Genomic DNA, 27,838 nt, shown 5'->3' with positions numbered 1-27,838 from the left:
CTAGCCACATCTAATAGTATATTAGACTATTCGCTTCATGCTTTCCCTTTTTCTTATCCAGTTGGAGCAATTATTGGTGGGAGAGTGTTTTTTGTGGTCATTTCTAGCCTCTCTGGAGATCTAACCTGTCCCTCCATTCTTGCTTCAGGGTATCTACAGCTGCATCCATGGGGTGGCGATCGAGGAGCGCCAGTCTGTAATGAACTCCCCCACCGCAACCATGAACAACACACACTCCAACATCCTGCGCCTGCTGCGCACGGCCAAGAACATGGCTAACCTGTCTGGTGTGAATGGCTCACCGCAGAGCGCCCTGGACTTCATCCGACGGGAGTCATCCGTCTATGACATCTCAGAGCACCGCCGCAGCTTCACGCATTCTGACTGCAAATCCTACAACAACCCGCCCTGTGAGGAGAACCTCTTCAGTGACTACATCAGTGAGGTAGAGAGAACGTTCGGGAACCTGCAGCTGAAGGACAGCAACGTGTACCAAGATCACTACCACCATCACCACCGGCCCCATAGTATTGGCAGTGCCAGCTCCATCGATGGGCTCTACGACTGTGACAACCCACCCTTCACCACCCAGTCCAGGTCCATCAGCAAGAAGCCCCTGGACATCGGCCTCCCCTCCTCCAAGCACAGCCAGCTCAGTGACCTGTACGGCAAATTCTCCTTCAAGAGCGACCGCTACAGTGGCCACGACGACTTGATCCGCTCCGATGTCTCTGACATCTCAACCCACACCGTCACCTATGGGAACATCGAGGGCAATGCCGCCAAGAGGCGTAAGCAGCAATATAAGGACAGCCTGAAGAAGCGGCCTGCCTCGGCCAAGTCCCGCAGGGAGTTTGACGAGATCGAGCTGGCCTACCGTCGCCGACCGCCCCGCTCCCCTGACCACAAGCGCTACTTCAGGGACAAGGAAGGGCTACGGGACTTCTACCTGGACCAGTTCCGAACAAAGGAGAACTCACCCCACTGGGAGCACGTAGACCTGACCGACATCTACAAGGAGCGGAGTGATGACTTTAAGCGCGACTCCGTCAGCGGAGGAGGGCCCTGTACCAACAGGTCTCACATCAAGCACGGGACGGGCGACAAACACGGCGTGGTCAGCGGGGTACCTGCACCTTGGGAGAAGAACCTGACCAACGTGGAGTGGGAGGACCGGTCCGGGGGCAACTTCTGCCGCAGCTGTCCCTCCAAGCTGCACAACTACTCCACGACGGTGACGGGTCAGAACTCGGGCAGGCAGGCGTGCATCCGGTGTGAGGCTTGCAAGAAAGCAGGCAACCTGTATGACATCAGTGAGGACAACTCCCTGCAGGAACTGGACCAGCCGGCTGCCCCAGTGGCGGTGACGTCAAACGCCTCCACCACTAAGTACCCTCAGAGCCCGACTAATTCCAAGGCCCAGAAGAAGAACCGGAACAAACTGCGCCGGCAGCACTCCTACGACACCTTCGTGGACCTGCAGAAGGAAGAAGCCGCCCTGGCCCCGCGCAGCGTAAGCCTGAAAGACAAGGGCCGATTCATGGATGGGAGCCCCTACGCCCACATGTTTGAGATGTCAGCTGGCGAGAGCACCTTTGCCAACAACAAGTCCTCAGTGCCCACTGCCGGACATCACCACCACAACAACCCCGGCGGCGGGTACATGCTCAGCAAGTCGCTCTACCCTGACCGGGTCACGCAAAACCCTTTCATCCCCACTTTTGGGGACGACCAGTGCTTGCTCCATGGCAGCAAATCCTACTTCTTCAGGCAGCCCACGGTGGCGGGGGCGTCGAAAGCCAGGCCGGACTTCCGGGCCCTTGTCACCAACAAGCCGGTGGTCTCGGCCCTTCATGGGGCCGTGCCAGCCCGTTTCCAGAAGGACATCTGTATAGGGAACCAGTCCAACCCCTGTGTGCCTAACAACAAAAACCCCAGGGCTTTCAATGGCTCCAGCAATGGGCATGTTTATGAGAAACTTTCTAGTATTGAGTCTGATGTCTGAGTGAGGGAACAGAGAGGTTAAGGTGGGTACGGGAGGGTAAGGCTGTGGGTCGCGTGATGCGCATGTCACGGAGGGTGACGGGGGTGAACTTGGTTCCCATTTGCTCCTTTCTTGTTTTAATTTATTTATGGGATCCTGGAGTTCTGGTTCCTACTGGGGGCAACCCTGGTGACCAGCACCATCTCTCCTCCTTTTCACAGTTCTCTCCTTCTTCCCCCCGCTGTCAGCCATTCCTGTTCCCATGAGATGATGCCATGGGCCCTCTCAGCAGGGGAGGGTAGAGCGGAGAAAGGAAGGGCTGCATGCGGGCTTCCTCCTGGTGTGGAAGAGCTCCTTGATATCCTCTTTGAGTGAAGCTGGGAGAACCAAAAAGAGGCTATGTGAGCACAAAGGTAGCTTTTCCCAAACTGATCTTTTCATTTAGGTGAGGAAGCAAAAGCATCTATGTGAGACCATTTAGCACACTGCTTGTGAAAGGAAAGAGGCTCTGGCTAAATTCATGCTGCTTAGATGACATCTGTCTAGGAATCATGTGCCAAGCAGAGGTTGGGAGGCCATTTGTGTTTATATATAAGCCAAAAAATGCTTGCTTCAACCCCATGAGACTCGATAGTGGTGGTGAACAGAACAAAAGGTCATTGGTGGCAGAGTGGATTCTTGAACAAACTGGAAAGTACGTTATGATAGTGTCCCACGGTGCCTTGGGGACAAGAGCAGGTGGATTGTGCGTGCATGTGTGTTCATGCACACTTGCACCCATGTGTAGTCAGGTGCCTCAAGAGAAGGCAACCTTGACTCTTTCTATTGTTTCTTTCAATATCCCCAAGCAGTGTGATTGTTTGGCTTATATACAGACAGAGATGGCCATGTATTACCTGAATTTTGGCTGTGTCTCCCTTCATCCTTCTGGAATAAGGAGAATGAAAATTCTTGATAAAGAAGATTCTGTGGTCTAAACAAAAAAAGGCGGTGAGCAATCCTGCAAGAACAAGGTACATAAACAAGTCCTCAGTGGTTGGCAATTGTTTCAACCAGTTTGAACCAAGAACTTTCCAGGAAGGCTAAAGGGAAACCGAATTTTCACAGCCATGATTCTTTTGCCCACACTTGGGAGCAAAAGATTCTACAAAGCTCTTTTGAGCATTTAGACTCTCGACTGGCCAAGGTTTGGGGAAGAACGAAGCCACCTTTGAAGAAGTAAGGAGTCGTGTATGGTAGGGTAAGTGAGAGAGGGGGATGTTTCCAATGCTTTGATCCCTTCTTACTTAACCTGAAGCTAGACGAGCAGGCTTCTTCCCCCCAAAACTGATTACAACTGCTACAGAGCAGACAGTTAAGAGAAATGAGCTTGACCTTTAAGAGAAATGAGCTGCACTCCATGAGTGCAGCTCTGGAGGTACGAAAAGAGGGGAAGAGACTTGGAAATGGGAGACGGGGGCAGAGAGGGACCCTCCACCACCTCTTTGGGCCTGGCTCCCTGGGAATGTGACTTGAGCCCAGAGTGAACACTCTTGGTAGAAGCCCTTCTACCTTCCTGCAACACCTTGTTTCCCTCTCAGATTGTACCATTGAGGAATAAAAAAAGATATACATGTATAAAACTCCAGGGATGAGGGTACCAGCAGAACTGATGCTCCCTTCACTTAACATTGGAAAATTGAGAAGGGAAATGAATATGTATCACTGCCGGTCCTGAAACTTGCGGTAGGGCTATTTATTCTATGGGTCAGTTCCACTGTCCTGCCATCCTCCCCTACACAGGGTGGCATCCAGAGAGCCCCAGGTCTGTGTGGAAGCTTGACTGCAGGATCGCCATGTTGCACACAGGACACATAAACCAGAAAGGTGCTCATCCTCCTCTGGAAGGAAGCTGCCATGTCTCTTCAAGTCACTCCCTCCAGGGCTGCTCTTCGCCCCTGTTTGCCCTCACTCGTGACCCTTCCTCATCCCGCCCTTGACTGCTGTCCCCAACCCTCCTCCTTGATTTTTACCTCAGTATCTTTCATTTTAAAGCCAACTGAAGGCCTTGTAAAGCTTTGTTTTCTTTCTAAAATGAACATGGGGGCAAGGGGCTGAACCTCTCACAGATTTGGTGAGAGGAGCACGGAGTGCTTTACCTTAGATAACAGAAAAGACTGAGAGAGGACAGAGGGCATGAGGCACCTCCAGGAGGAAGAAGGCGAAGGGCCACGTAAACACTGCTTCGCCCTGACTCTGTCCAGGGGTCAGGGACTCATCCCCTCATCTTCCTCTTACCTCACCCCTTTCAAACAAAAAAACCAAACCAACTAACCTAGCGAACAGCAATCTAGAACCAAGGGAGCTCTTTCAGTCTCCGCTGGCAACAGAAATCAAGATGGTGTTTATTTCATATGTAAATATTTTGTTTTCTAATTTTGTATAGATAAAGTGTTCTCTTGTGAGTATTCAGGGTGTTGGGCTGGAGGGAGTGGGGTGGTGATGGGAATGAGAGGGAAAAAGTGTTTTGTTATGGGTTTTCATTTCCCATTGGGGGAATTGTTTTGTATGGCTTTTTTGCTTCAGGGTGTCTGGAAAAAGCGAATGCTCATGGAGGCCACTATGGTGAAAAAGCCAGGGGAAAGTAATTGTGTCCATCCCCCCCAGAAAACCAGTCTTCTTACTGGTTTGTGAGAAATGTTCATGCACTTTGGCCAGGGTTTTACATAGGGTTCAATTTGGCTCTAAGCAAACCCCAGGTCTGACTCCTATCTTCTAGGTAGACCCTAGGTTACCACATTCCACACAAAGACAGGCTGGTGGCACCATATTTCCTCTGTCAGTACCTAGGGTAGGAAAGATTCCCAAAAGGGCTTAAACAGAATTAAGGTCAAATTAACTTCCCATTCTTGGCGTGACTGAAAGGTTTCAGGAAGCTCAATCCTGAGAAATCTCCCAGCGGCCTCCTCTGATGCTGAAACAATCGTCTCAGTCATCTGAGTCTTTTCTTCTTTAGGACCTGGGCGCTGACTCACTCCCTGCCCCATCTCCACCCTCAGAAGTCAGCCTGGCAAACACACGTGGAAAAATCTCCACTAACTCTACTTTTTGAAGCATGTGATATCTGGTCACAGAGAGGTAGTGCTGGATATGTGTCTTACAAATTTGCATGCTTTTCTAGAAAAGATGATGGGATCCACTAGAAACTCAGTGGTGAGATGATTCCCTTAGCAAGATTGCTGAAGTTAGGTTTAGACGTGGGAGGGTGGGTATGTGAGCAATGGTGCCAATAGCGGCTCTTTATTTGCCTTGTCCTCATTACTGCCATCAGGAAGGTGCTACTGGCCTCGAGCCAGGTGTTCATAATCTGGCCTTGGGTTAACCAGACAAATAGAACTTCTTTTCCTAGACTGTTGGCTTTGTGGAGGTTGGCAGCCTCTATCACAGGATAAAATTTCCAAATCCATTTACCCAGTATATTCACTACATTTTTTCCTATCCTCCCATCATAAAAGCTGTTAGCTGGACAATTTTATTTTTCTAAACTTATTTGGCCCCAGTTGGTTGCTTTTCTTCAACTGGATATTTGCACTGGGACTAAGTTACTCATGGTCTGCTTAAGAAAACTTAAAGAAAGGAAGGCTGGGCATTGTTAAAATCTAGATGTTACTTAATTCCAGAATAACAAGCAAGTAAAATGCATGAGGAAGAATTCAGCTATAAGCCCAATCTATATCACAGATGGGTATGAAACAACACCCAATCCATCCAAAACTGTGAGATTCCGCAGATACCCTCAGGAGCACCTAATATTCCCATGTTCTTCAGAATCCATGCTTTCTCGCTTTGTACCCTCTATCATTCCCTTCCATTGCAGAAGTGGTTGGTGAGTGTGGTCCTGTATGAACTCCTTTCAGTGGCAATGCTTAAATCTCAGCATTTCCACTGACAATAATCTGACCCTTGAATTTGCCTGAGTCGAGACTTTGCACACCCTTCAAAGTGATGCATGTACAGTGGACTTTGTTATTTCAAAATCTGTCACTGTGTATCCTCAGCCAGAACTTGGGAAACATCCTTCATATGTATTTCCCTGCACTGGCCACAGCCATGTTGTGATTGAGGGGAAAATCCCAAATGATTCCATTAAATGTTGCTGGTGTCAGTAGTGCCAAAAACGCATGTATGACATGATACAGTAGGAGTTGTCTATACAGTTAAGTGACTATCACTCACCCGGTCTTCCGTGGCCATCAGGAGTTGCCCAAGGGAGAATTCTCTGCAGAGTGCTGGTCACCTGCACATGTCACTAAGAACTAGGTTTCTTTGGTTCATTTTTTTTTTTTTTTTGGTCGGTTTTTAGTTAGTTAGTTCAAGATTTACAGATAGAATAACCAGATTGTTTGGGCAATAAGCTTTTGGAAAAACTATTCCAGAACTCACTTTATTCTTTCAATCATCATCTCTCTAAAAAGGCCCTGTCATTGCTTGACACCCTGTGAATGTCTGTTTTTGTATGTTAGGAATGATTCAGATGTGTGCATAAATGATGTCACTGCAGTGATATTGATGAATGCATTCAGCATTTCCAGGGACTGTGGCCATACCTTATGTGCTCTCTGAGCCCAAAGCCATATAGGAAATACATGCTCAGTAGGCTGCTACACACTACAGCAGAGCTTTTGCTTTCTTCACTTGGGTGTCAGAGACTTTTCCTCCTGTTTAAGGAGCTCTTCATGGAGGAGAAGCAGCTGAAAGTGAATAGTCACACTGGGATGGGTCTGGCCTTATGTATGCTATGTGGTCCATGGTGTGTTGAAGGTCCTGAAAAGGTCTTTTTCATTTCCCACCCCACTGCAACTACCACCTTCCCACACAGATTTGTTGCTTTAGCACTGAGCTGAGCTGTCTGTCATTCGAATGAAAGTAATCCCAGGAAAGGTGACATATTAAGCCATATTAGGGATGTATACATTTAATCACCTAATTTACATTAGGAATCTCACTCCTTTTCCTGGGAATAAGTTATGATACAAGAGAAGAGGAAGGGAGCAGAGAGCACTGAGAGCAATAGAGTAGGGAACAAGGATACAGGTTCTAGATGGCAAAGACATTTAAACCATATTTTGGCCTCCGCCTGCTTTTATTTAAGCCTCATTTGACACCTAAATAGGACTCCTGGTTAGGAATTATTTTCAATACACAATCATATGAGTGTATAATTTATGAATTTCTAAATTCAGTATCTTGTAGGGCAGGTTGAGAACTATGATTCTTTCCATAGAAAATAGAAGAGTGATGCTTCTCCTCCATTACATGTTACTGAGTAGGCAGCTAGAAAAATCAAATTGAATTAGTGATACAATAAAATTTACTGTCATTGTCTGGTTTCTGTCCCAGTTTAATTAATCTTCCAATTAGCTGAGTTGGTCTATATCCTATACTTTCCACCTCCATAGGGGGTGCCCTGTTATCTGGTAAAAGAGCCACTTATGACCTCAGGTGCTACTTAACCTGGGGGGCAATTGTTTCTTAGGCCTAGCAGATGTTTGGGATGACACTAAAATGGCAGATTAGTCAGTCTGAGAATGTCTAATATTGATCTGAATCTAGGATTCTATTCTAGTTTGGGGGGTGGGGTTGCAGTATTGTATAAAATCATAGGATATCTGAGAACATCCCACCCTCAACTCATTCCAACCACATTGATTCAGTCACACAGTGGCCCTGTGAGCTCTATGACTTAGAAGAGATAGCCTATCTATTCCTATGACAAAGGCCCTCACCCAAAACCTTAAATTGAAAGCCAGTGCTGCTACTTTCATGCCTTGGAGAGAACTGTGACGTTTAGGGCTTCTCATTTACAATATTGAAGCAAGAAAAAAGAATTTTGTTCAGAGTAATGGGTTAGAATAGCAGTACTGGGAATAAGTAGGGAAAGTTAGAAATCTTCCACATTTCTCTCTACATCTCTCAAGAGCTCTGTACAGTGAGTTTCTGGAGCTGCTTCATGCTTTGAATATAATTGCTGGGGTGATTATGTGGTTAAGGGCTCCTGAAAGAACTGAAGGTGAAAAGCAGAGTAGATGAGTAGAATTCCTCAGAGCCTTGGCACTCTGGTGTGTAGAATCTGTGTTTTGGAGAAGGTGAAAGAACTCAGTGCAAGAATTAAGGTACAATTAAAAAGCACAACACTAAGCCCAATTTAAACTGTTATTTTAAAGATTAGGTTTCCACACTTTAAACCTGAACTCTTTTATCGGTAATTATTTTAATGTTGTGATTTAGGAGGTGGAGCAGATTCTAGTACTATGCAGGAGAAAAAAATAAAAGCTCTCTGGTTAAATATGTGAGTTTAATTAAACCAACGTCTATTGTGCACGTACTATGTCCCTAGGCTAGTTCTGTGAATGATATAAAAGGTTTCAAAATGGAGTATATTGTACTCACGTAGAATATATGAAAGCATAAGTATAAAATATGTAAATGTATGTATAAATAGGTATGCATACATTTGTATGATTATACATGCAAGTTTAATATTTTCTGGTTTCAGGGTAGGAGTCAAAGATATCCATTATGCTATTTGAAAAAACATTGCAGAGATTCAGCTTCCCATGTCATGGCCAGGCCTGGACTTATTCTTTTGAAATTATTACACCTCCCAGAGCTAAAACTCTGGGATTTCCTCTCTAACCACAACCTTGCCTTTTCTATATCTTCCTTCCTTCAAGACCCCTCTGTTGTTCTGGTCCATAAATCCATCAGGCCTCATTGAATTCCCTCTTTGGTCTAACCCTGTATTTACCCACATTAGCAATATTCTCACCGGCAATTCCTTTTTCCTCTTGCCATCTCACTACACCAACCATGCTTAGCTAACTGCATCCCATCCCCTTGTCATTCATTGCATCCCCAAGAAGAGCAAGTCTTAAACCTACGTGAAGAGCACAAATTCAATCAATTTAACCTCACCTGAAGCCTACTCACTTGGACTTTTTAATTTCTCCAATGTTGACTCAGTGTCACATTCTGTGCTTGATAAATTTGTTTTATTTTCCTTTCATGTTCATGTCCTGTCTTTCAACAGGCAATCTTTCCTACTGTGTTTGCAAGAAAATCTGATTATTGAATCCTCACATATGCTGTCCTCTCTGCCTTTAGATTTCTCTTGTCTTTCACACATCTTTTCCATCCTTTCTCCCAACCAAGTGCTCCTCTTCCCTATGCTCTGACCTCTTCTGAGGTGCTCTCCAGCCAATTGTATTTCTCTCTTTTGCATCTTTAATTCCTTCCACACATCTACCTGCAACTATCTCAAAAACACCCGTCCTACAACTATCTCTAAAGACAAATCTCTCAATCCAATTTGACTCTTGAATTTCTGTCCTATCGCTATCTTTTCACTTCCCAACTTCTCAAAAGGGTAGTCTTTCTTTCTCCACTTCCTCACCTTATGCTCATGGCTTCATCAATGGGCTACACCCTACCACTCTTCTGAAACTACTCTCAGGCAACGTTCCAATGAAGTTCTTGTTACAAAAGTCAATAGCCTTTTTTCTTTACTTACCCTGCTCTTCAACCTCATTGACAATTACCATTGGGAGGCAATACATTCTGGTTTTAATCTTAGTTCTCTGGTCCTCTAACCTCATTGGTTCCTGCTCTTCCTCTTATCTCCTTAGCATTGACTTGCCATGGTATATCTGAGCTTGACCCTCTTCTCCTTATCTTAATGCTTCTGTAGCAATCTTTCTGTCTTCTATGATTTCAATAACTCTTTGAATGAAGATGAATCCCAAATCTTCACTTTTAGCCCCTACCTTTTGCTTTTCCTTCATACACATACTTCCAGTCACCTTCTGAACACTCAACTTCATCTTGACTCAAATATCCAAAACCATTGCTGCAAACCAACATAATCACCAACTTCCTCCTTTTGCTTAATGGTATCACCATGTCTTCCGTCACCGAACTCAAGCTTTTCAGGCACTTTTGCCTCCTCCATTTTCTTCATCCTGCATATCTAAAAATTTGAAAAGCCTACTAATTCTTCCCCCTAAGGTTTCCAGTCTTTCCTTTTCATTCAGACCCTTCCTTCTAGTCTGGATTATTTCAGCGTCTTTTAGCATTGTTCCAATATTTTATATTTGAATCTACTCTTGTCAGTACTCACTTCCTACATATAAATCAGATGTCATTCTTCAGATCAAGAAACAACCTTCAGTGGGCTTCACTTGCCGTAGTCTGCCAGCAATAATTTCTTGTTACTTGACTATGTGTGTGTCCCATAATCCAGACAAGCTGAATAACATTTGTTTCACCTTTCCCTACCAGCTTGTTTTCCCACTTGCGTCTTCCCTTAAACTGTTCCCTTTGTCCAAAATACTCTCCTTCCTATCTCCCATCTCACTCCCTTCTTGAATAATATCCATTCCCTCTATATAAGTCTTCAAAGACCAGAACAACTTCTTTATCTTCCATTCAGAAAATAATTTTAGGCATTTTATGAATGCCCATAACACTTTCGTTGTTTCTCCCTAGTGGCAGCTATCATGGGCCATCTTATTTCATAGGTATTTGGTTATACATCTCATCTCTCCTGCTACAGCATAAGCTCCCTGTGTTCAGGGCCATGTATTTTTAAATCTTTTTATCTCCTGTAGCACTAAACAGAGTGCCTTGTATATGAAAGGCATTAGTAAATATTTGATATTATTATAAATTATAATTGAGAAGGAGTCACTTTATTTTGCCCATTTGTATCTGCAGTAGCACCTAAGGATGAATCCCCCCAGTTTCTCTATATATATCTGCACACACAATCACATGTATATACTACATGTATACAGTTCATTATTTCAAATGGAATCTGGATTTTTCTAAGTGCTTTGTCCTTTTTCTAAGTGCTTTGTCCTTTGAAGTTGTTTTGGACTGTTTTATGGTTAGGAAAGTGTACTTGGAACACTACATGTGTTCAAGTAAGTGACAGAGGGAGAAACTATGAAGGATATTGATCAAATTTTAGGTATCAGCTTTTCAGATGCTTTGGGTAGAGCTTGTATCCAGACACTTTACTACCAAGATTGAGTCTCTAATAACCTGATCCATGCTGGGACTGATCTGTGATCCAATATTTAGCTTCTTTTTTAACACTTTCAGCACCAAAAGAACCTTGTCACAGTTCTGGCTCACTAATCACACAGCCTTGTAGACCCCAGGTGGTGGTCCAACAGGACCACTGTATTTCACCACACGCTACTTCCACATTTGTGGCCTTGGGGGAACTGTCTGTGCTGGTCACCACCTTGTCTTTATATTTCTTTCCTGAGTTCTTTGGCTTCTCACCCTTTCTGAGGCTTTGTCTACAGGATCACTTCTCCCAAAGGGAGGATAAGAGTTGAGGTAATTGAGCACTTTACCTCTTATCTGTATATTTACAATGAAAGTAAGTTAGGATTTGAATGAGCTGGCTCAGAGAGAATGCTAGTCTCTAAACTACTCCTTTCTCTGTAAATATAAAGGGATTCATTACCTCAGGGGGAGACAACATCACTTCTGACCTTATGGCCCTCCCTTATCCTCTGGTCCCTGTATTCTTGAAGCCCTGTTAACCCTTCCTCCTCCTCTCTTGGCTCTACTTAGCAATCTATCAATCATTCTTTCTAGCCAGTGTCAGTCTCTGTCCCTCTGAAGAAACTCTTGGAGCTCGTACTGTCCTTTCACTTCAGCTGCTCTGGTAACCGATAATGTTTTCGTTCCTTCTCCCGGCCAGCCTTCTCTGTAAATCTCATTATGCCATTGGCTATGAATTATTCCCCTTTGGGAGGCATCTTCTGCCACTGTGTGCTAATTTAAAGCATACTATAGAGAACTGAACTCAAATAAGTTACAGGCAGTGACAAGTCTCTTTTTTTAAAAAAAAAGTGAAGAAAGTCCACTCTTCATTGAGACAGGAGTGGGTAGGACAATTATTATTGGCAAGGTAGGGCAAAACTTGTGACAACTTGGGAGATACCTAGTGAAAATTAAAATATAAGTCTAGAGAGATAATTTTGCTTTTCAAAAGTCCTATGGGGTCTAGATAGCCTTGCTCCTGAAAATGAGAATAGTTAATATTTTAGAGCAAAACCCATTTCATTATACTATGAGACTTTTTTTTTTAGCTGATGAAACAAATTATCTGGTAAACAGCTGGTGGGAGGGTAGGAAGACAGCCATCCTCATGAAGGACGTTCATGAATCTCATTTGGGCCAATAAATGGACCAAAATTCTAGGCATTTTAGCCATGAACTGTTCATGTCAATTATTTTGCCTACAAATACCCATAAAAGGAAAGGGAGGATATGAGGAAGGAAAAGAACAGGAAGTCTACACTGGAGCTTCCTTTTGTGTCACCAATAAAGCCAGAAGCTGACATGTGAGGCACATGGTTCCCCCTTGGTTACTGGCTTCAATGATAGCTTCGGAAAGTAGGGAAACTTGAAAGAGCAAGGACCAAAGCGGAGATGAGTGAGGAACCTGAATGCAACCTTATGTGTGAGGTCCTGATATCCACAAGGAACCTGGCCCCATGTCATTCCTGCCCAGGTCCTTCAGATTACAGCACCCAAGGAGCCCTTGATCATCACCCTGGGCAGAGGGAGTGACTTATCACACCACCCTTACCCACAGAATTTAGGCCACCAGGCTGTGACTCCATCTGTCCCCCTTGCAGTAAGAGATTCATAGTCTCTGAAATCTGACAGGAGAACAGCATCAGGGGAAGGGGCCACAGGAATGCGAATTTGTTGAGCTGCCTGCTCCTCTAGGATAAGTATATTACCTGTTTCCAGAGGGGATTGTTTTTTTTTCGAAATGAAACAAAACATGCCTGCCTAAAACTTCAGCCCTATTCAGAACAGTCTTGCAGTTAACTGTCATTGTCACATTTTAATTGTAATTGATTTTCTTTTGAAATCCATGGCTATTTTAATGCTCCCTTTGACCATGACATAAGAACCCTCTGCAAACCAGAGACCTGGCCATTAGGTTGCCTCTGGCTGAGTTATACTCTCAGTAGTTTATACTTTGCTCTCAGATATTCACCTGAACAGCACAACTACACAGAATTTGATCTCTTTGCCATGAGCATTCTGATGCCTATGTACCTCCCTAATGCACACACACAATCTTAACAAATAGATCCAAATTTCCTATGTCAATCATGTTATGGTAGATGAAAGTGTTCATTTAGAATGGGATAAAGAGACATATCATAATTTATGCAGCCAGTGTTTTCTCTTTGCTCTACCTGGCTTGTGGATCATTGATCCCTCAAGGTTTGACAGAAATATTCAGGCTTCATGTGAAGGCAGCATGTTCTTTGTGATGAAACAACCTAGTTATCGTCTCCATTTTCCCATTTTACCCTATGGAATCCATGTGGCCTTCTAAGGTCCTGTTGATGGACTGGTACTAAGAGGATGGAGAAGCAGAAGCCAGTCCCCCTGAGAACAGACAGTCCTGTTGCTTAGATACATACATATTCGCACATGTGCCCACATCTCTTCTTGGAAACATCATGAGCAGAGGTGGAGAGGTCTGTTCTCAATGGGAGGAATAAGGGTAGGAGAATTCCTTGAGAATCCCTATTCTCAAGGAATAGGGATAAATGCCTTCACGGATTCAATAATTTATCTGTTCTCTCTCTCCCAGGGTCAGGAGCAAGAAAAATATCAAGGTTTCACATAGGCAGGAAGCAAGGAGGATAGTGAAGCATCTAGGTGGAGGTGGAACTCTTACTGAGAAAAACATGAAGTAGTAAAATCACCCTTTCTTTGATATAAATGCATTTAGAAGTCAATGAGGGCACTTACAGCTGTGTTTCCCTTCACTAACTTTTCATCTCTTGCATTCTTTACTTCTCTTTCTCAATTTATTCATCTTGAGGTATACTTATCCTGAGTTGACTCTGAGCAGCCCATCCTCAAAACACAAACAATGTTAGGATGAGAAGTTGAGTGAGCACAGAGCTCGAACACGTGCATGGTACTTAATGTTTCCAAACTCGAGCCCAATCAGTCTAGCACAGTCAATCCCACTGCATTTTAATGACTAGGATGGGGCCTGCTGTACATAGCTGGACATCTTGGATTACAGAAAAGAGGCTTTATGTGAAGGCAGCATTTTCTTTGTGGTAGAGCAACATAGTTATCCTGCTAACTGTCCTATTTGACCTGATGGAATCCATAAGGTCCTGTTGATGGGTTGGTTCTAAGAGGATGGAGAAGCAGAAGTCATTCTACTGAGAACAGACAGTCCTGTTGCTTAGATACATACATATTCTTTATGACAGAATTCCTCCTGAGACTCTTGCACACCTTCAGTGATCAGCGCATTCACTTTGGTTATTTCTTGGTAACAGGCACGAGAAATGGGTCACATAGAAATCTGAAGAGTCATTTCTCGAGCATTTTTAGCTTATTCCCATGTAAAGAGGCACTGAGCTCCTGCAGTTCTAGCCTGCCTCTGCTCCCCTCCTTGGGGAATGGTGGAGTTTCTAGGATAACCAGCAACCCATTAGGCTCCACCACACTTAGCCTATGGTACATTCTGAGTAAATCACAGTAGTTGGTATGTGAATACAGAAGAATTTACCATAACCACTTCTCCAAATAACCTCCTTTGACTTGGAAATAAGATCATCTTTCAGTTTTACAGATGAGAAGTCAAAGCACAAAATTGGATAATTAGCCAAAAGTAAGATTATACAGAAAATTCTTGACAGAACCAAAACTTGGCTGAACCAAAACTTGTCCAAATTTCTAACTCTCAGTCTAGCTCAGCGAGTAATGCTGCCTGAATTGTCTGCCCCCACTGTAGGTTTTCAGCATCTAGCAGTGGAGAAAAGTCACGAAATCTAGGCAGCTGATTTAGCCAGATCTTATCTATGAAATTTCCCTTTGTAGACACACACACACTCCACATACATCTACAGAGACAAGTCAAAAAGAGCAAGAAGAAAGCAAAAATTTGAAAATCAGAAAGGTTAGAGAGGTTTCCACGGTGAAGAAAACTTGGTCAAATAAAAATGTTTTTGAATTCTATAGGGTAAGATATTGTGAATAATTTTTTATTATTAAAAATTTTTTTTAGGTAGCATGTAATCCACATAAATAAAAAACTCAAGAATAAACTGGGACAGAGGATTTCTTCCAGAGTGCTACATGGCAAAAGAGCCTTCAGGAACGTGTGCAGGGGTGTCATGATACTCCGAAGGTGTCAGTAGTTTTGGTCAGCCCACAGTGAGCAGGGCAGCCTCAAGGGAGAGCCCCTTACATCCTTTTCTGGGCACCTCTGTCTAATTAAGTTCAAACATACAAGCCTGATTCTAGGATTAAGGCATAAGTTAGTTCTGAACAGAAAAATATAAGGCAGTTCACATACACAATGAATTCTTGAAGAAAGAACCTATAGCCCCCAGACCGATAATAAATAATTACTGCCTGCCAAAATCCTGAAGAAAGGGAAGCATGGGGGCTCCAAAATTAATAGTCTCCTGAGAATACTTATGAGACCTTGATTTTGTCACAAGGTTGCAATGGTGAATTATTTATTAAGCACCCGCAGATCAGAGAATCTTGCAACAACCTTCTCTTACAACCCACCTGTTCACTTATGAATGATATCAAGCTCAGGATATAATCCATCTTTCCAAAGATTTTAGTATCTTTAGTTTGGGCTGCAGAAGAAATTTTGGCTCACAGCATTATGCTTAAACCAAAAACAGTGAAAGAGCTCTAGTGTCCTGCTTAATGTAGAGTAACTTTTTTTTTTTATCAGTCCTTCCTAGCCCTAGAGGGAAGATAGGAGAGGAGGTAGGAAGATGGAAAAGTCCTTAGATGAATGAGTGAGGAGACTTCTATACCATCAACTTCAGAGTGTACTGATCCCCGGAGCCTGGTTCAGGAGGCTAGTTTCAGATGATCGGAGGAAATGGAGGAGGTAGCTTTTATTCCCATGCATGAAGATGGGGGGAGGAGGTGGGCACTAGACTAATTTTTTAATCTAAAAAAAATCAAGCCTATTACAAATCTCATTTTTCCCTTGTCCTTTTGCCTCCCAATAATTCACATAAAATCGTGTTATCATAGTAAGCTAAGAGAGAGGGGCAGTAGCTATTTCTACCTTGACTCCGTGGTGACTTCATCTTTTTCATGAGTGTCATTACAGATACCTGGATCATGATGATCCTGAAAAACAGGTCACAGGGCCAACAGCTGATGAGTATTTGGAGCATCTTATTCCCCCAAGATGACCACTCCCTGTCTTCTGCTACACCTATATTCATCGGGGGGGGGAGGTGGGAAAATAGCAGGATTCTTGGGGACTCTGAGGGCATGAATGGAGAATTATTTGATTGAAACCACAGAGCTCTTGTACTTAGTATTAAATATTAAAATAGAAATGAAAAGTTCAGCTTTTCTGAGCTGTACCATAGCGGCCAATGGAGGAAGTCTTACAAAGAAAATCTATATCTGCACAAGACTGAAGCCACTAAACCGAGTATACACAACATAAAGATATCTTCCTATTTCAAGTATCCCTTAGGGGGCATGGGTGCTTAGCTATCCTATGAAAGACAGAGAAGATAAGCTCAATTTTAGAGCCCAGAGCTTGCTCCGGAACAGCAAGATCCACATGAACTTAAACTCTTTCCCACTGAGCCTAGGGGTGGAATGTAATTCCTCTGATGGTTTTGATTTATTTCCAAGCTAGACTTCTCTATTTGATCATTGGCACCTTGGCAGCTCACACATCTCCGTGGTCTCTTCTGTAGCTTTCAGAAAAAAAAAAAAAATATATATATATATATATATATACACACACATACATACATACATACATATACATAACCCTGTTTGGGTAAGGCCTATTGACAGAAGCCAGATATCTGGGTGGAAGTTAGAAGATGGGCAAGGAATTCTTATCTCAGAGTTTCAACACTGCGACAATGTGGAGAGAAGTCTCCTGGGAAAATGCAGATGCCCAATAACTTCCAAAAGAATCAGGGAAGTTGGAGTATTTTTGAGATTTACAGTGTCTTTACTTCAGTAAAACAAGCCATAGCAACATTATGCTCTGCAGAGTCTTCTGTTCACCTTTGGATGGAAAAGAGCTGCTTCTCCTAGGGAGACAACTAAGACCAAGAACAAAACTCCCATCTCCTAGGCCAATTATTGTTTTCTCCTTTCCTTTCTTTTTTATTCTCTTTGTTACATAATGGTGAAATCTACCTGGCCATTGCCAGTCAAACATTCTAATTGCTAAATATCATACAGAAATTCATGAAAAAAGAGTAGAATCAGCAGATTTCATTTAATCCCAAGGGTCTTTGCAGTTTTCATCCTCTCCCTCAAAGTTATCTCTTCTTTGAGACACATGATCACCCCTTTCCTCTTCTGGGTGGCCATGATTCCAAAATGAACTTCAGTGGTTGGTGCTTCACAAAAGGAAAGACAGCTATAATATAAAATAGACCAAAATACTTATATTTTTAGCCACTGCAAAGTGGGTTTTATCGTTGAGAACAACCTTCCAAGCTCCTTACTTGGAAACCCTTCCTCACCTCCCAGCCTCCTGGCAGCTCTCCTGGTTCCCCTTCATGTTTTTGGCTCCCCTCCCCGACTTTCCTTTCCTATGAAAATGGGATATATCCCTTAAACTGTATTCTTATCTAAACTATCAGACTGTTAAAAGAAACCCTTGACAGTAATTTTTCATGGTTTTCTCATCATTTTTTAACTTAGGAAGTTGGAGAAAGAATGACAAGCAGGCAAATGAGGTCTTGTTCCTGAGTGCTTCAACTCAAGATCAAGTGCTGGGATAGTGAGTGGCTCTTAGTGGAGAGGGATGTGCTCTGGAATATTAAGCCACCTCTGAGCATGTGTCCTGGTGCTCTGGTCAAGATGCCTGTTGTGTATGTGGAGGTATTTTGTGGCTTTTCTTGTTCTCTCTTTTTAAATTTATTTCAAGGCACAAGCCCTTTGTGATGGAGGATGTCTAGCTTGAACATGCTGGTAATGTGACACTATCCTCAGCTCCCCTTGGCCCTGGGTTCATAGGAGGCAAGTGTTTCTAAATTTCTCGCCCAGTGAGTTGTTGCATGTTATTTTTAACCATTAATATTGTGTGTCTATTGGAATGAGAAACAGAAGGTTGAATGGGAAATAGATTCAGTGACAAGCAGACAAAAAGCTTGGTTCTGAGAAATGTTCTTCACTGAGTTGAAAAAAAAATAATCTAGAAACAAAGAAGAGGGAAATTGGGGTAGAATGGTTTGGTGGTGAAGAGACGATGACACCCACATCCAGATGCTCTGGTGTATTCCCTCAGAGATTTGTCATTCCCTGTGAGCTCTGGCAGAAGGAGAGGCTGTGCTGCCATTGATGGCTCAGAAATGGTGACAGGCTGGCTTTAGAAAGAGACGTAGGCTTTCTTCCAGACAGACATTGATAAGCATTGTAGCTCGATTCTTCAAAACCTTGTCTACAAACCTTTAGGGCAGCCCCTCTCCAATGATTTCCATTCTCCAGTCAAGAAGATTCTGAGTGGAAGAGCCTTGTGTGCATTGTGATTACATTGACTTAAATTGGGAAGCCAAGGGGCACTGAGAACTGAATATATCAGGGGAATGGAGTTAGCTGAACCTTTTTTTTTCAATATTGGAATGATTTTGGATCACAAAGTTAGGTCACCTCTGAGAGAGAAAATCTGTTAAATAAAATTATATCTTCCCATCTCCAGTGAAATCACTAGGTTGTTAATGTGATTACTGTTTACTTCAGAAAGAAAATTGCTAGATTCGATTACAAATAGGCATTTTACAGATTGATTTAATCCTGAGTCTTACACATATTAACATGGAATTTACTGACTCAGACATGATCTTCTAAGCTATAAAATATTACTGGCGGGTAGTAGATCATATGTTCTAAGCAAACCAGGAAAGCTAAAACGTTAAGTAATCCTCCCAAATATTCAGCGTCTGTGTATTTCACTATAGCTGAAGGGGATTTGGGAGTTAGGCCGCAGGGGAGAGGAGGGACAAAGTGCCATAGATTAATGAAACTCGGAGTAACTTTTTTCTTACCTATTAAAAATAATAATTAACCCAAGGACAATTCTCAAACCAGAAAAATCATGAAAAGTGAGCTCTGCACTTGCCATTGGTTAAAATTTAGAAACACTTAGAATAAATATCCAGGTTTTGGGGGAGGAGTTGTTTCCTTGCTTGCATTGTTTTGTTTACTGGAGCTCTTATTTTGGGGATATTTGGTCTGTGGCTTCAGAGCATGTTTTGGATAAATGACTTATCCATGTTGATATTTATTGAGTGGAAACCCATGCCAGGCTGTTCTAGGTGCTGGAATATAAGAACGAACCACACAAAGTCCATACCCTCTTGAAGTTTGTATGTTGATGAGAGGAAATGGACAAAAAAGCAAATCAATAGATCTCATGTCAGATAGTGCAAAGTGTCATGCAGAAAAATGAGGCAGATTAAGGGGGATAGATGATAGGATGGGTGTGGGGTTGCTATTTTTGAGTAAGCAAAGATGACATTTAAGTAAAGGTTTGGAGGAAATGAGGGAGTGAGACTTGGGGCTTTCTATGCAAAGGCAAAGAGAAAGCAATTGCAAAGGCCCTGCTGTCAAACCAAATGCTTGGCAAACTTGAGGAAGAGCCGGGAGGCCAATGAGGGAGGAGGAGAGTATGAGAGGTGAGGTCAGAGAGGGGGCAATAACGCAAGTCAGGTAGGGCCTTGTAGGACACTGTCAGGATTTGGCTTTTACCAAGAGCAAGATGAGAAGTTGCTAGAAGGTTCGGAGCATAGAGTGATATGATCTGACTTCAGTTGAAGAGGAAGCTTTGGGACTGCTGTGTTGAGAGTATACCCTGAGAGGGCAGACAATGGAAGCGGCTGAAAGACCGGTTAGGAAGCTCTTGCAATAATCCTGGTAAGAGATCATAGTTGCTTGGGCCATGATGTTAGCAGGGGAGGTGATAAGAAGCAGTTGGATTCCAGAAATGTTTTAAAGAATCGATATCACACAGTTTGCTGATGAATTAGACATTGAATAAGAGAAAGAAAAATCTTAAGAATAACCTTAGAATGTTTGGCCTGAGCTATTGAAAGTTTGGAGTTGCCATCAGTGTAAGACAGGAATCCTGCAGGTGAGGCTGACTGGGAAGGAAAGCCTTATAGTTTAAGGTGTCTACAGATGTTGCAAGTAGAAATGATGATTAGGCAATTAGATATATGGACCTGGAGTTCAGGGAAAATGTATAGCCTGAAGATACATATTTAAAATTTGTATGCGTTTGGTTGGTATTTGAAGCCATGATACTGGAACTAGAGAATGAGTAGCGACAGAAGAGGATTCTCTAGACTGAGGCCCAGGGTGGAGGATTGTTCAAAGCTCCAGGAGATGAGAAGGGACCAGCAATGGGAGGAGTGGTTAATGGGTAAAGCAAGTACTATTATTGAGTAGGATAAGACTATCTGGAAACATGGAGGTCATCCCATTGATGACCTGGAAGAGAGCTGTTTCAGTGGACTGGTGGGGGCAAAAGCATGATGGGGTGGATTCAAGAAAGAGGGGAAGGAGAGGAGGTAGAGACAACAGGAATAGGCAACGCTTTAGGAGTTTGGCTGTAAAGAGGACATGGAAATAGCAGATCATAGAGAATGTGACGCCCAGGGAGGGACTTCTTTTTTTAAGATGGGAAAAATAACAGCCCATTTTATGTTGACAAGACTAATCCAGGAGAAAGGAAAAATTGATGATGCCTAGGGAGAGAGGACAATTGCTGGAGTAATGTCTTTGATGAAGTGAGAGGGCATGGGATTCAATACAAACATAGAGGGACTGGCTTCAGGGGACTAACCAGGTTTGTTTGTATTAATAGCAGGGAGATAGTGCATTTGGGCACAGATGCAAGTGGGCTGGTAAATGGGATAATGGGAGTATGCTTTTTCTGATTGATTTTTAGTAAACTATGAAAGGAGTTCATCAGTTAAGAGTGAGTATAGGGGAAGAGTATTGGAGGTTTTGGAAGGAAGAAAGCATGAATGAGTCATATAGCCATCCGGCAGGAAGAGTGAGAACAAAAATGTCGGAGACACCAAAAATATAGGAGACATGCTAGGGGGCATAAAGGAATTATTTGAGTTTTTATGATTATGAGTTTAAAGAAATTTGTTTTCTTCAGTCACCTTCAGCTGCTTAAACAGGGTGGCAAGTTAGATTGGAACAGGGTTGGGGTATAACCAGGTGAATATAATGAAAGCAAGAGATGTGGAGTCAAGGGCAACTGCAGTGTGTTAACTATAATGTTTGGTCATGGAATCTAAGCTGGGTGTAGAGGAAAGTGAGGATTTTTAGGGAAGGAGGAACAATGAAGCATATTAGAGGCAGAGGATTGAGATTCAAGCTGGGATCACTCAGTTAGTGAGTCAGAAGCAATAACGTAGAAATTAGGAGGTGGGTTGGAGAGGTGGATGCTTGAGGTTATGGAGGGCTTGCAGTTATTGGTGGTTTGGGGTCTGTTGTTGGGGTGGTGGGCTGAGATAAGATAGAGGAAAAGGTTATAGAAGGAGCAGGGGTCAAGGAACTGAGAGGCCAGGATATGGGAATTATATAGATATTGAAGTCAACAAAATGTTGACTTCCATATGATAGGAATGTAAATTATGACAGGAATGAGGGAGAGTGATTCGAGAACATTTCAATCATTGCATCAAGTAAGGGGTGCAGCTAGCCTAGTCTGATGTGCATCAAAGCTGGATTTTATGGTTGTTGCATGTTATTTTTTTTTAAAAAGGAGGGAGGATGGTCTGGAATGGCAATGAGGGGCAAGAAGGGCATCTCCACCTCCAGGCCCCAGGGCATGAGGAAGGTGCAAGTGGAAATGCTCACCACCTGGGAGTGATTCAGGGTCCTCAAAGAGGAGCCAGGTTTCTGTAAGAGCAAGAGGAAAGGAATTGCCAGGGTTGTGGCTGGTGATGAACCACTGATTCTTAGGCAGGATTTGGGAGTTGGTAAAGGAAGGGAAATGAGCTGAGATGGGAGATGTGCATGGGTATCTGGGGATGAAAGTCCAAGTGATAAGAGGGACTGGGGGTCTTGGGCTTCTCGTGGTGATTGCCCTAAGCGAGGCTGTGGGCATTTGGGGTTGGCCCTAATTGTCTCTATGTCAGATTGAGGTGGTGATGCTGCAAGTGCCCGGGGCAGGGACTTGATGGCAGCACATGGAACTCTGGTACCTCTTCCTCAGTCCTGATATTTGCTTTTTTAACTTCTACTAAAAACCCCACTGCTAACTGTGATAGGCCACAACATGTTTTTATAGATGTCAACAAATGTTATCCTGGATTGAGACCACATTTTGACTATTTATCCTGGAAAGTACACATTTTCACAGGAAATCTTGTCCTTTCTAAGGTTCCCAACTAAGCTAGTCTCGTTGTGGGGGGGTCATAATTATTTGTTCTTACTTACCTTACTCCTTGTTCATCTTTAAAAAAAAAATCAAATAAAAAGGATTGGAAAGCAACTTTGCTTCTGCCCAATTCTGCTAAATGAAAGTTTTCTCTGACAGATCATTTTGATTTTGTATTTTCTTTTGTGACAGAAACAGTGGGACAGGAGCATGGAAATGAATGAAAGTCTTTAAAAGCCTTGAGAGAGCGTTTTCAAGGATCAGGAGAGGGCTTAGAAAGAAAAGGACTCTGAGTGGGGCTGCATGAAAAGGGGGTAAGTGAGGACTCTTGGGGAGGGTCTGAAAAAAACAAGTAGTTTGGCAAGGAGAGCAGAAAAATAAAATTCCACTGTGTAGGCATTTGGAGATTTAGCAAGAGCAACCTAGAGTCTGCCCCCAGAGACACTGCACGTTGTTTCTGACACAGAGGATGCACTAATTCTATTTCCTGTGCCACCTGAAAAAATCATAATTTGAGAAGAGAAACTGTTAGGCCATTTCTAGTGAACTATTTTTCCAAACCCTCACGGAACCCTGAACAGGGTGTGAATGAGATCACAACTACTGCTGCTGCTGGTTCAGCCTCTCTGTCCACTAATAAAGGCAAACCCTTCAGCATGGTCATATCCTGCCAGCCGTTTTCCCCCAAAAGATTAAATTATGTTCATCTTGGCTCATCTAACGCCACATCTTGAGTTCTTAAGGTATCACAGCCAACTCAGTCATACCTTACTTTATGCACTGAGTACGCATTAAACTCTATTTAGGAAGGAAGAGGGAAGCAAAGGAAGCCAGGGATGGTTTTGTCATGACCTCTCTTTGCTTTCTGACCTCCCGGAATCCACTCTTTGGAAGATGTGCAGAAAACAATGTGACTTCCATTTACCCTGCCTCAGATCTCCCCTCCTTCAGACTGGCTCCCACCCCTGGTTAATGGGGTAACCTGGGTACGCCTATTTGTTAAAGGAATTTGTGGGAAGTGAGGGGCAAAATTGTTGGAGCAGAGGGAATAGATTTATGGGAGCTTTGTTACCCAGTGACTATCCCAGCATTAATACTTCAGAGTAGCCCTGACGCTTGTGGAAACATTTCAAGGGAGCTAGAGGCAATGTTACAGTGGAGATCAGAGAAGGGATGGGGCAGTGAGCTCTTGTCCCTAGGGGAAATCTCTTTTCCTCCACGTGACAGGAGCCAGTGCTCCAACAGCATCAGAATTACACTTAGCCACAATGACTGATGCGTGTGTGTGCCTGTGCACATGTGTGTGAGCGTGTGTGTGAGCGCACGTGTGTAAGGGGGTGATGATGGAAACATGATATGCATCCACTATGGGGTTGCGTTGCAAATTCACAGCTGCACCCCTCCCAAAGTCACATGGCAGAGGGGAAATGGTCATAGCTTTCCTGTGTGATGTCCTCTCCAGGGAGCACCGACGACTCAGGCTTGCCTCAGCTCTGCGAGGCCCAGACTCCACACTCCTCCCTGGGGCCGGCTCTCCTTCCTCTTGACTCTCAGATCCCCAGCCCATCCACCTCCAAGTTCTTTTTTTGTTTATTTGTTTTGCTTCTGTTTTCTGTAAATATCTATTTCTTATTTTGGACATGCAGGGATCAATTGAGATTCTGGAGTGGGGGGAGGGGCGGATGACTGGGTCTTTTTATTTTTTCCTTTCTCTCTTGGATTTTGGTGTTTGAACTTGAAAAAAATAATTACAAGTATATATATAAGCAAATGACTTACCTTTAAACAAAAGAAATAAGTTGATTTCATTCTTTTGATTTATCTTGTTTCTCATTGGGGTCGGGTGGGGGTGGGGGGTCTTTTGGGTGGAGGGCTTTTTTGTGAGCTGTATAGATTTCCAGTTTGGACTTGTTCAAATGATGCAGGAACAAAAATTAAAACGAATTAAAAAAAAGACAACATAAAAAAACAAGAAAAACTTTGTGATGTATAAAAGCTGTAAATAGTCAAAGATTCTTTCTCTTTTCTAATGGCAAATTATTTCTGTCACTTTATATTCAAAAAATAAAGAAACCTACCACAAATTATCAGGGTTAAAAAAAATCCAGAATCAGAGTTTTTTTCTTGGTCTTTGTGCTTTCTTTACTGTGATTCCAAAAAGATTGTTAAAAGTGCTGTTTGGGAAAAACCCCTTGCCCAGTTGGTTTCCAATTGTTGGTAGGAGTCTTGGACTGGCGAATCTACTTGGGTTGGGATCTGTTTCTACTATAGCTGGTGCTGGAGCCCTTGGTTACACTCATCTCCCCCTCATGTATTATTCTGAAACAAATCCCATAATTATATGGTTTCATCTGTAAACATTACAGTATATATCTCTTTTACTAAGGACTCTTTTTTAGTTTAACAATACCATTGTGACATCATAAGGTAGCCATAATTCCTTGATAAGAAATATCCAGTGTTCACTAATTGTCTCAAATGTAATACTGTTTTATGGGGTGGTGGTGGGTTTTTTTCCCATAAGTCATAAGGTCCATACAATTAGTTGCTATTTCTCAAATGTATTTTAAATCTAAAGATTTGCTTTCTAACTTTTTCTTGACATATACTTGTTAAAGGAATAGAGCACTTTATCCTTTAGAGGTTCCCACAGTTGGATTTTGCTGGTTCTTCCCAATATTAATGAAGACAATGTAAATTGGTAATTGTTTTACTCTTTAATGCATACTTCCATTGCTTGGAGGTGTCAGAAAAGCAAACCAGCCCTTGTTTTGCTGATTGTTTCCCACCCCACTCCCAGTCCCAGTCCTGTTACTGGCTTTATATATGGATTCTAAATGATCTCTCTTTCTATACCTTGATTGCTAAATTATCCAAGTTAAATAATAGTATCTCCCCCTTAGCTATCTTGGTAAGAAAATAGCATAGACATATTTAGCTTTTCACATGCCAATCATGAGGCACATTTCAACATCACTTTATTAAAAGCCACATGCTCCTCCTATAGTCCTAGTACTGGAAAGGACCTTCTAGAGACCATTTAGAAGAACTCTGTCTCATGGCCAAGGAGCCTGGGTGAGCTCATGTATGGCAGCCCTGGCTAGAAGCCAGCAGGGCTAATCCCTAGTTCCAGGAATCTCCCAGGATAATGTATTGTTATCTCTTTGAAGTTACTGTCTCAGAGAGATTATCTGTGAGGGTCTCTCTTGTACTTTCCTTTGTACTGAACAAAAATTCTTGTTTCTCCCTGAACATTCCAGAAAGTAGCAAGCTCTAACATAAAGCCAGATTCTTCCCAGATATAGTGATTCTCTTTACTTCTGGAGATACTTCCTTAAACCCCAAATTTTTTTTGGACAACAGAACTGCTTTAACAATAATCTGAAAATTATACAGTAAGTTTGATTTGAAAATCTGAGATTTGTTTAAAAAAAAAAGGGGGAAGACAAGACTTGAAATCTTGGCTCTGATTTTTCTGTTGTTTTTGTTTTTTTGTTTGTTTTTTTTTTGTTTGTTTGTTTTTTAAGAGGGTCTTGCTCTGTCATCCAGGCTGGAGTGGAGAGGTATGATTACGGCTCACTGCAGCCTTGACCTCCCAGGCTCAAGTGATTCTACCACCTCCGCCTCCTGTGTAGCTGGGTACTACTGGTGCATACCACCACACTGGGCTGATTTTGTATTTTTTGTAGAGACGGGGTTTCACCATGTTGTCCAGGCTGATTCTGAACTCCTGGGTTCAAGTGATCTGCCTGCCTCGGCTTCCTATGATGCTAGGATTACAGGTGTGAGCCACTGTGCCCATCTTGGCTCTAGTTTTAAATAAGGAAGCTTGCGAGTATTTATCTGGATTATGGTGGGAACCTCCAGTAGGATATCATGAAAGCTTTGATCATGATCACAACACCTTCAATAAAACAAAGACTCCAATGACAAGGGTGAGTGCCAGAACTTCCTGAGACTATGCCAAGTGTCTGTTCTTTATACAGCCTGCCTCACCCACACCTGGAATCTCTTAAATGGATTAGCTCAGAGCACCTGTGTCCTACATGCCCTTGTGCCACCCTGAAGTCCACTGCAAGGGACTATCAGTAAGACCAGTCTAATGAAAGGCTGAGGGAGCACCCGGTTGTGTCCCCATCAGCCAACTGTTCCGGAAAGATGAGCCTCCTTGGCTGTCCCAGGATTGACACTCTTCCCCTGCATACATCACTAGGAAGGTAGAACCTACCCTGAACACTTGATTTGAATATTTCTATTCCCCTATTCTTTTACAAATGCAAACTAATTCTTTCAAAAATATAAATGATCCTCTGAAAGAAATTTCTTGTGGAATTCTGGAATGACCAAGAAGATGGGAAGAGACCACCAGAAAAGTGGTTCTGAGAGTCTGCAGGGCCTGTCAAAAAAATTATGCCAAAGCTATCATTTGTGGCCTGCATCAAATCATCTAGACTTCCGTTTTCTTATCTTGAAACCCAGATGTTGGTCTATCTGCCCTCCCCATCAAAGGTTACCTGGAGCAGTAGTTCTCAGTTTTACATAGTGGAGTCATCTGAGTATTTCTGAAATGCTGATGCCTGAGTCTCATCCCCTAGAGAGTCTCATTCAATTGTCCTGGGTGGCTGGAGGGGTTAGGGGTTGAAAACTTGCCCAGGTGATTTTAATATACAGCCAGAATGTGAACCACTATGTATGTGCATCTGGGGAAAGCGGGCCTCCTATTTACTTCTAATCCCATTATATGTGGCAGCTGTTTGTTGTCACTCTCCTCTCACCATGGACAACTATTCACAGCACAGACAGTCACCCTTTGGAACTCCAGGACCTCTTTCCTCTTCCATTTGGAGCTGAAGAATGGACATAACGGAAGCACCATTTTATGATTACAGCCTCGTTCTCTAATTCTGCCTATCCCCAGCATACACGGCTAGATATAGACATACTGCAAAGCTCCTCTATGTAAAGGAAATTCTACACATAAAATTTAAACTTGGAATCGACCTTAAATGTGACTATTCTCATGATTATGGGAAGAAAATCAAAACTATAAACTTACTCCACAAGGTTGGTTCATTGGCCATAATTCCTGGACTTACTCCTCAATTTAAAATCTATGATCTTCTAAAAAGGCACCTTTTTTTTCAGCTCTACATAGCCTGGGTCTTGATTCTCTAACCCCCTCAGTTAGGGAAACCTATCCACATTGATGTTCTTTGCCTGGAAATTAGTCCCTTCCCCTCTTCCAGGCAAACTCTAGGACACTGTAGTTCCCTCAAGCACATGCCCCATAGTCGGAATAATTGTCTGACATCACAGGGGGCTTCATCAGGACAACAAAAGGTGGGCTTTGCTCCTCCACATCCAATCTTCTTTTAGATGTGCCCACG

The 27,838-nt window shown here is 42.9% G+C and overlaps 1 protein-coding gene across 3 annotated transcripts in view; it reads left to right on the top strand.

Annotated features, from left to right (window-relative positions):
* The window catches only part of GRIN2B (glutamate ionotropic receptor NMDA type subunit 2B), a 444,798-nt gene extending 417,347 nt beyond the window's left edge, over positions 1-27,451 (top strand). For all 3 annotated transcript variants that reach the window (NM_001413992.1, NM_000834.5, XM_005253351.3), the window contains one exon: positions 149-27,451. In NM_001413992.1, coding sequence (NP_001400921.1) covers positions 149-2,005 — 1,857 coding nt within the window. In that variant the 3' untranslated portion in view covers positions 2,006-27,451. The remainder of the gene's footprint in view (positions 1-148) is intronic.

The sequence above is a fragment of the Homo sapiens genome, chromosome 12 (assembly GCF_000001405.40).
Source record: "Homo sapiens chromosome 12, GRCh38.p14 Primary Assembly".
NCBI classification, from domain to species: domain Eukaryota; kingdom Metazoa; phylum Chordata; class Mammalia; order Primates; family Hominidae; genus Homo; species Homo sapiens.
The sequence above is the reverse complement of the archived record's forward strand: the minus strand, read 5'-3'. Positions and strand labels throughout refer to the sequence as shown.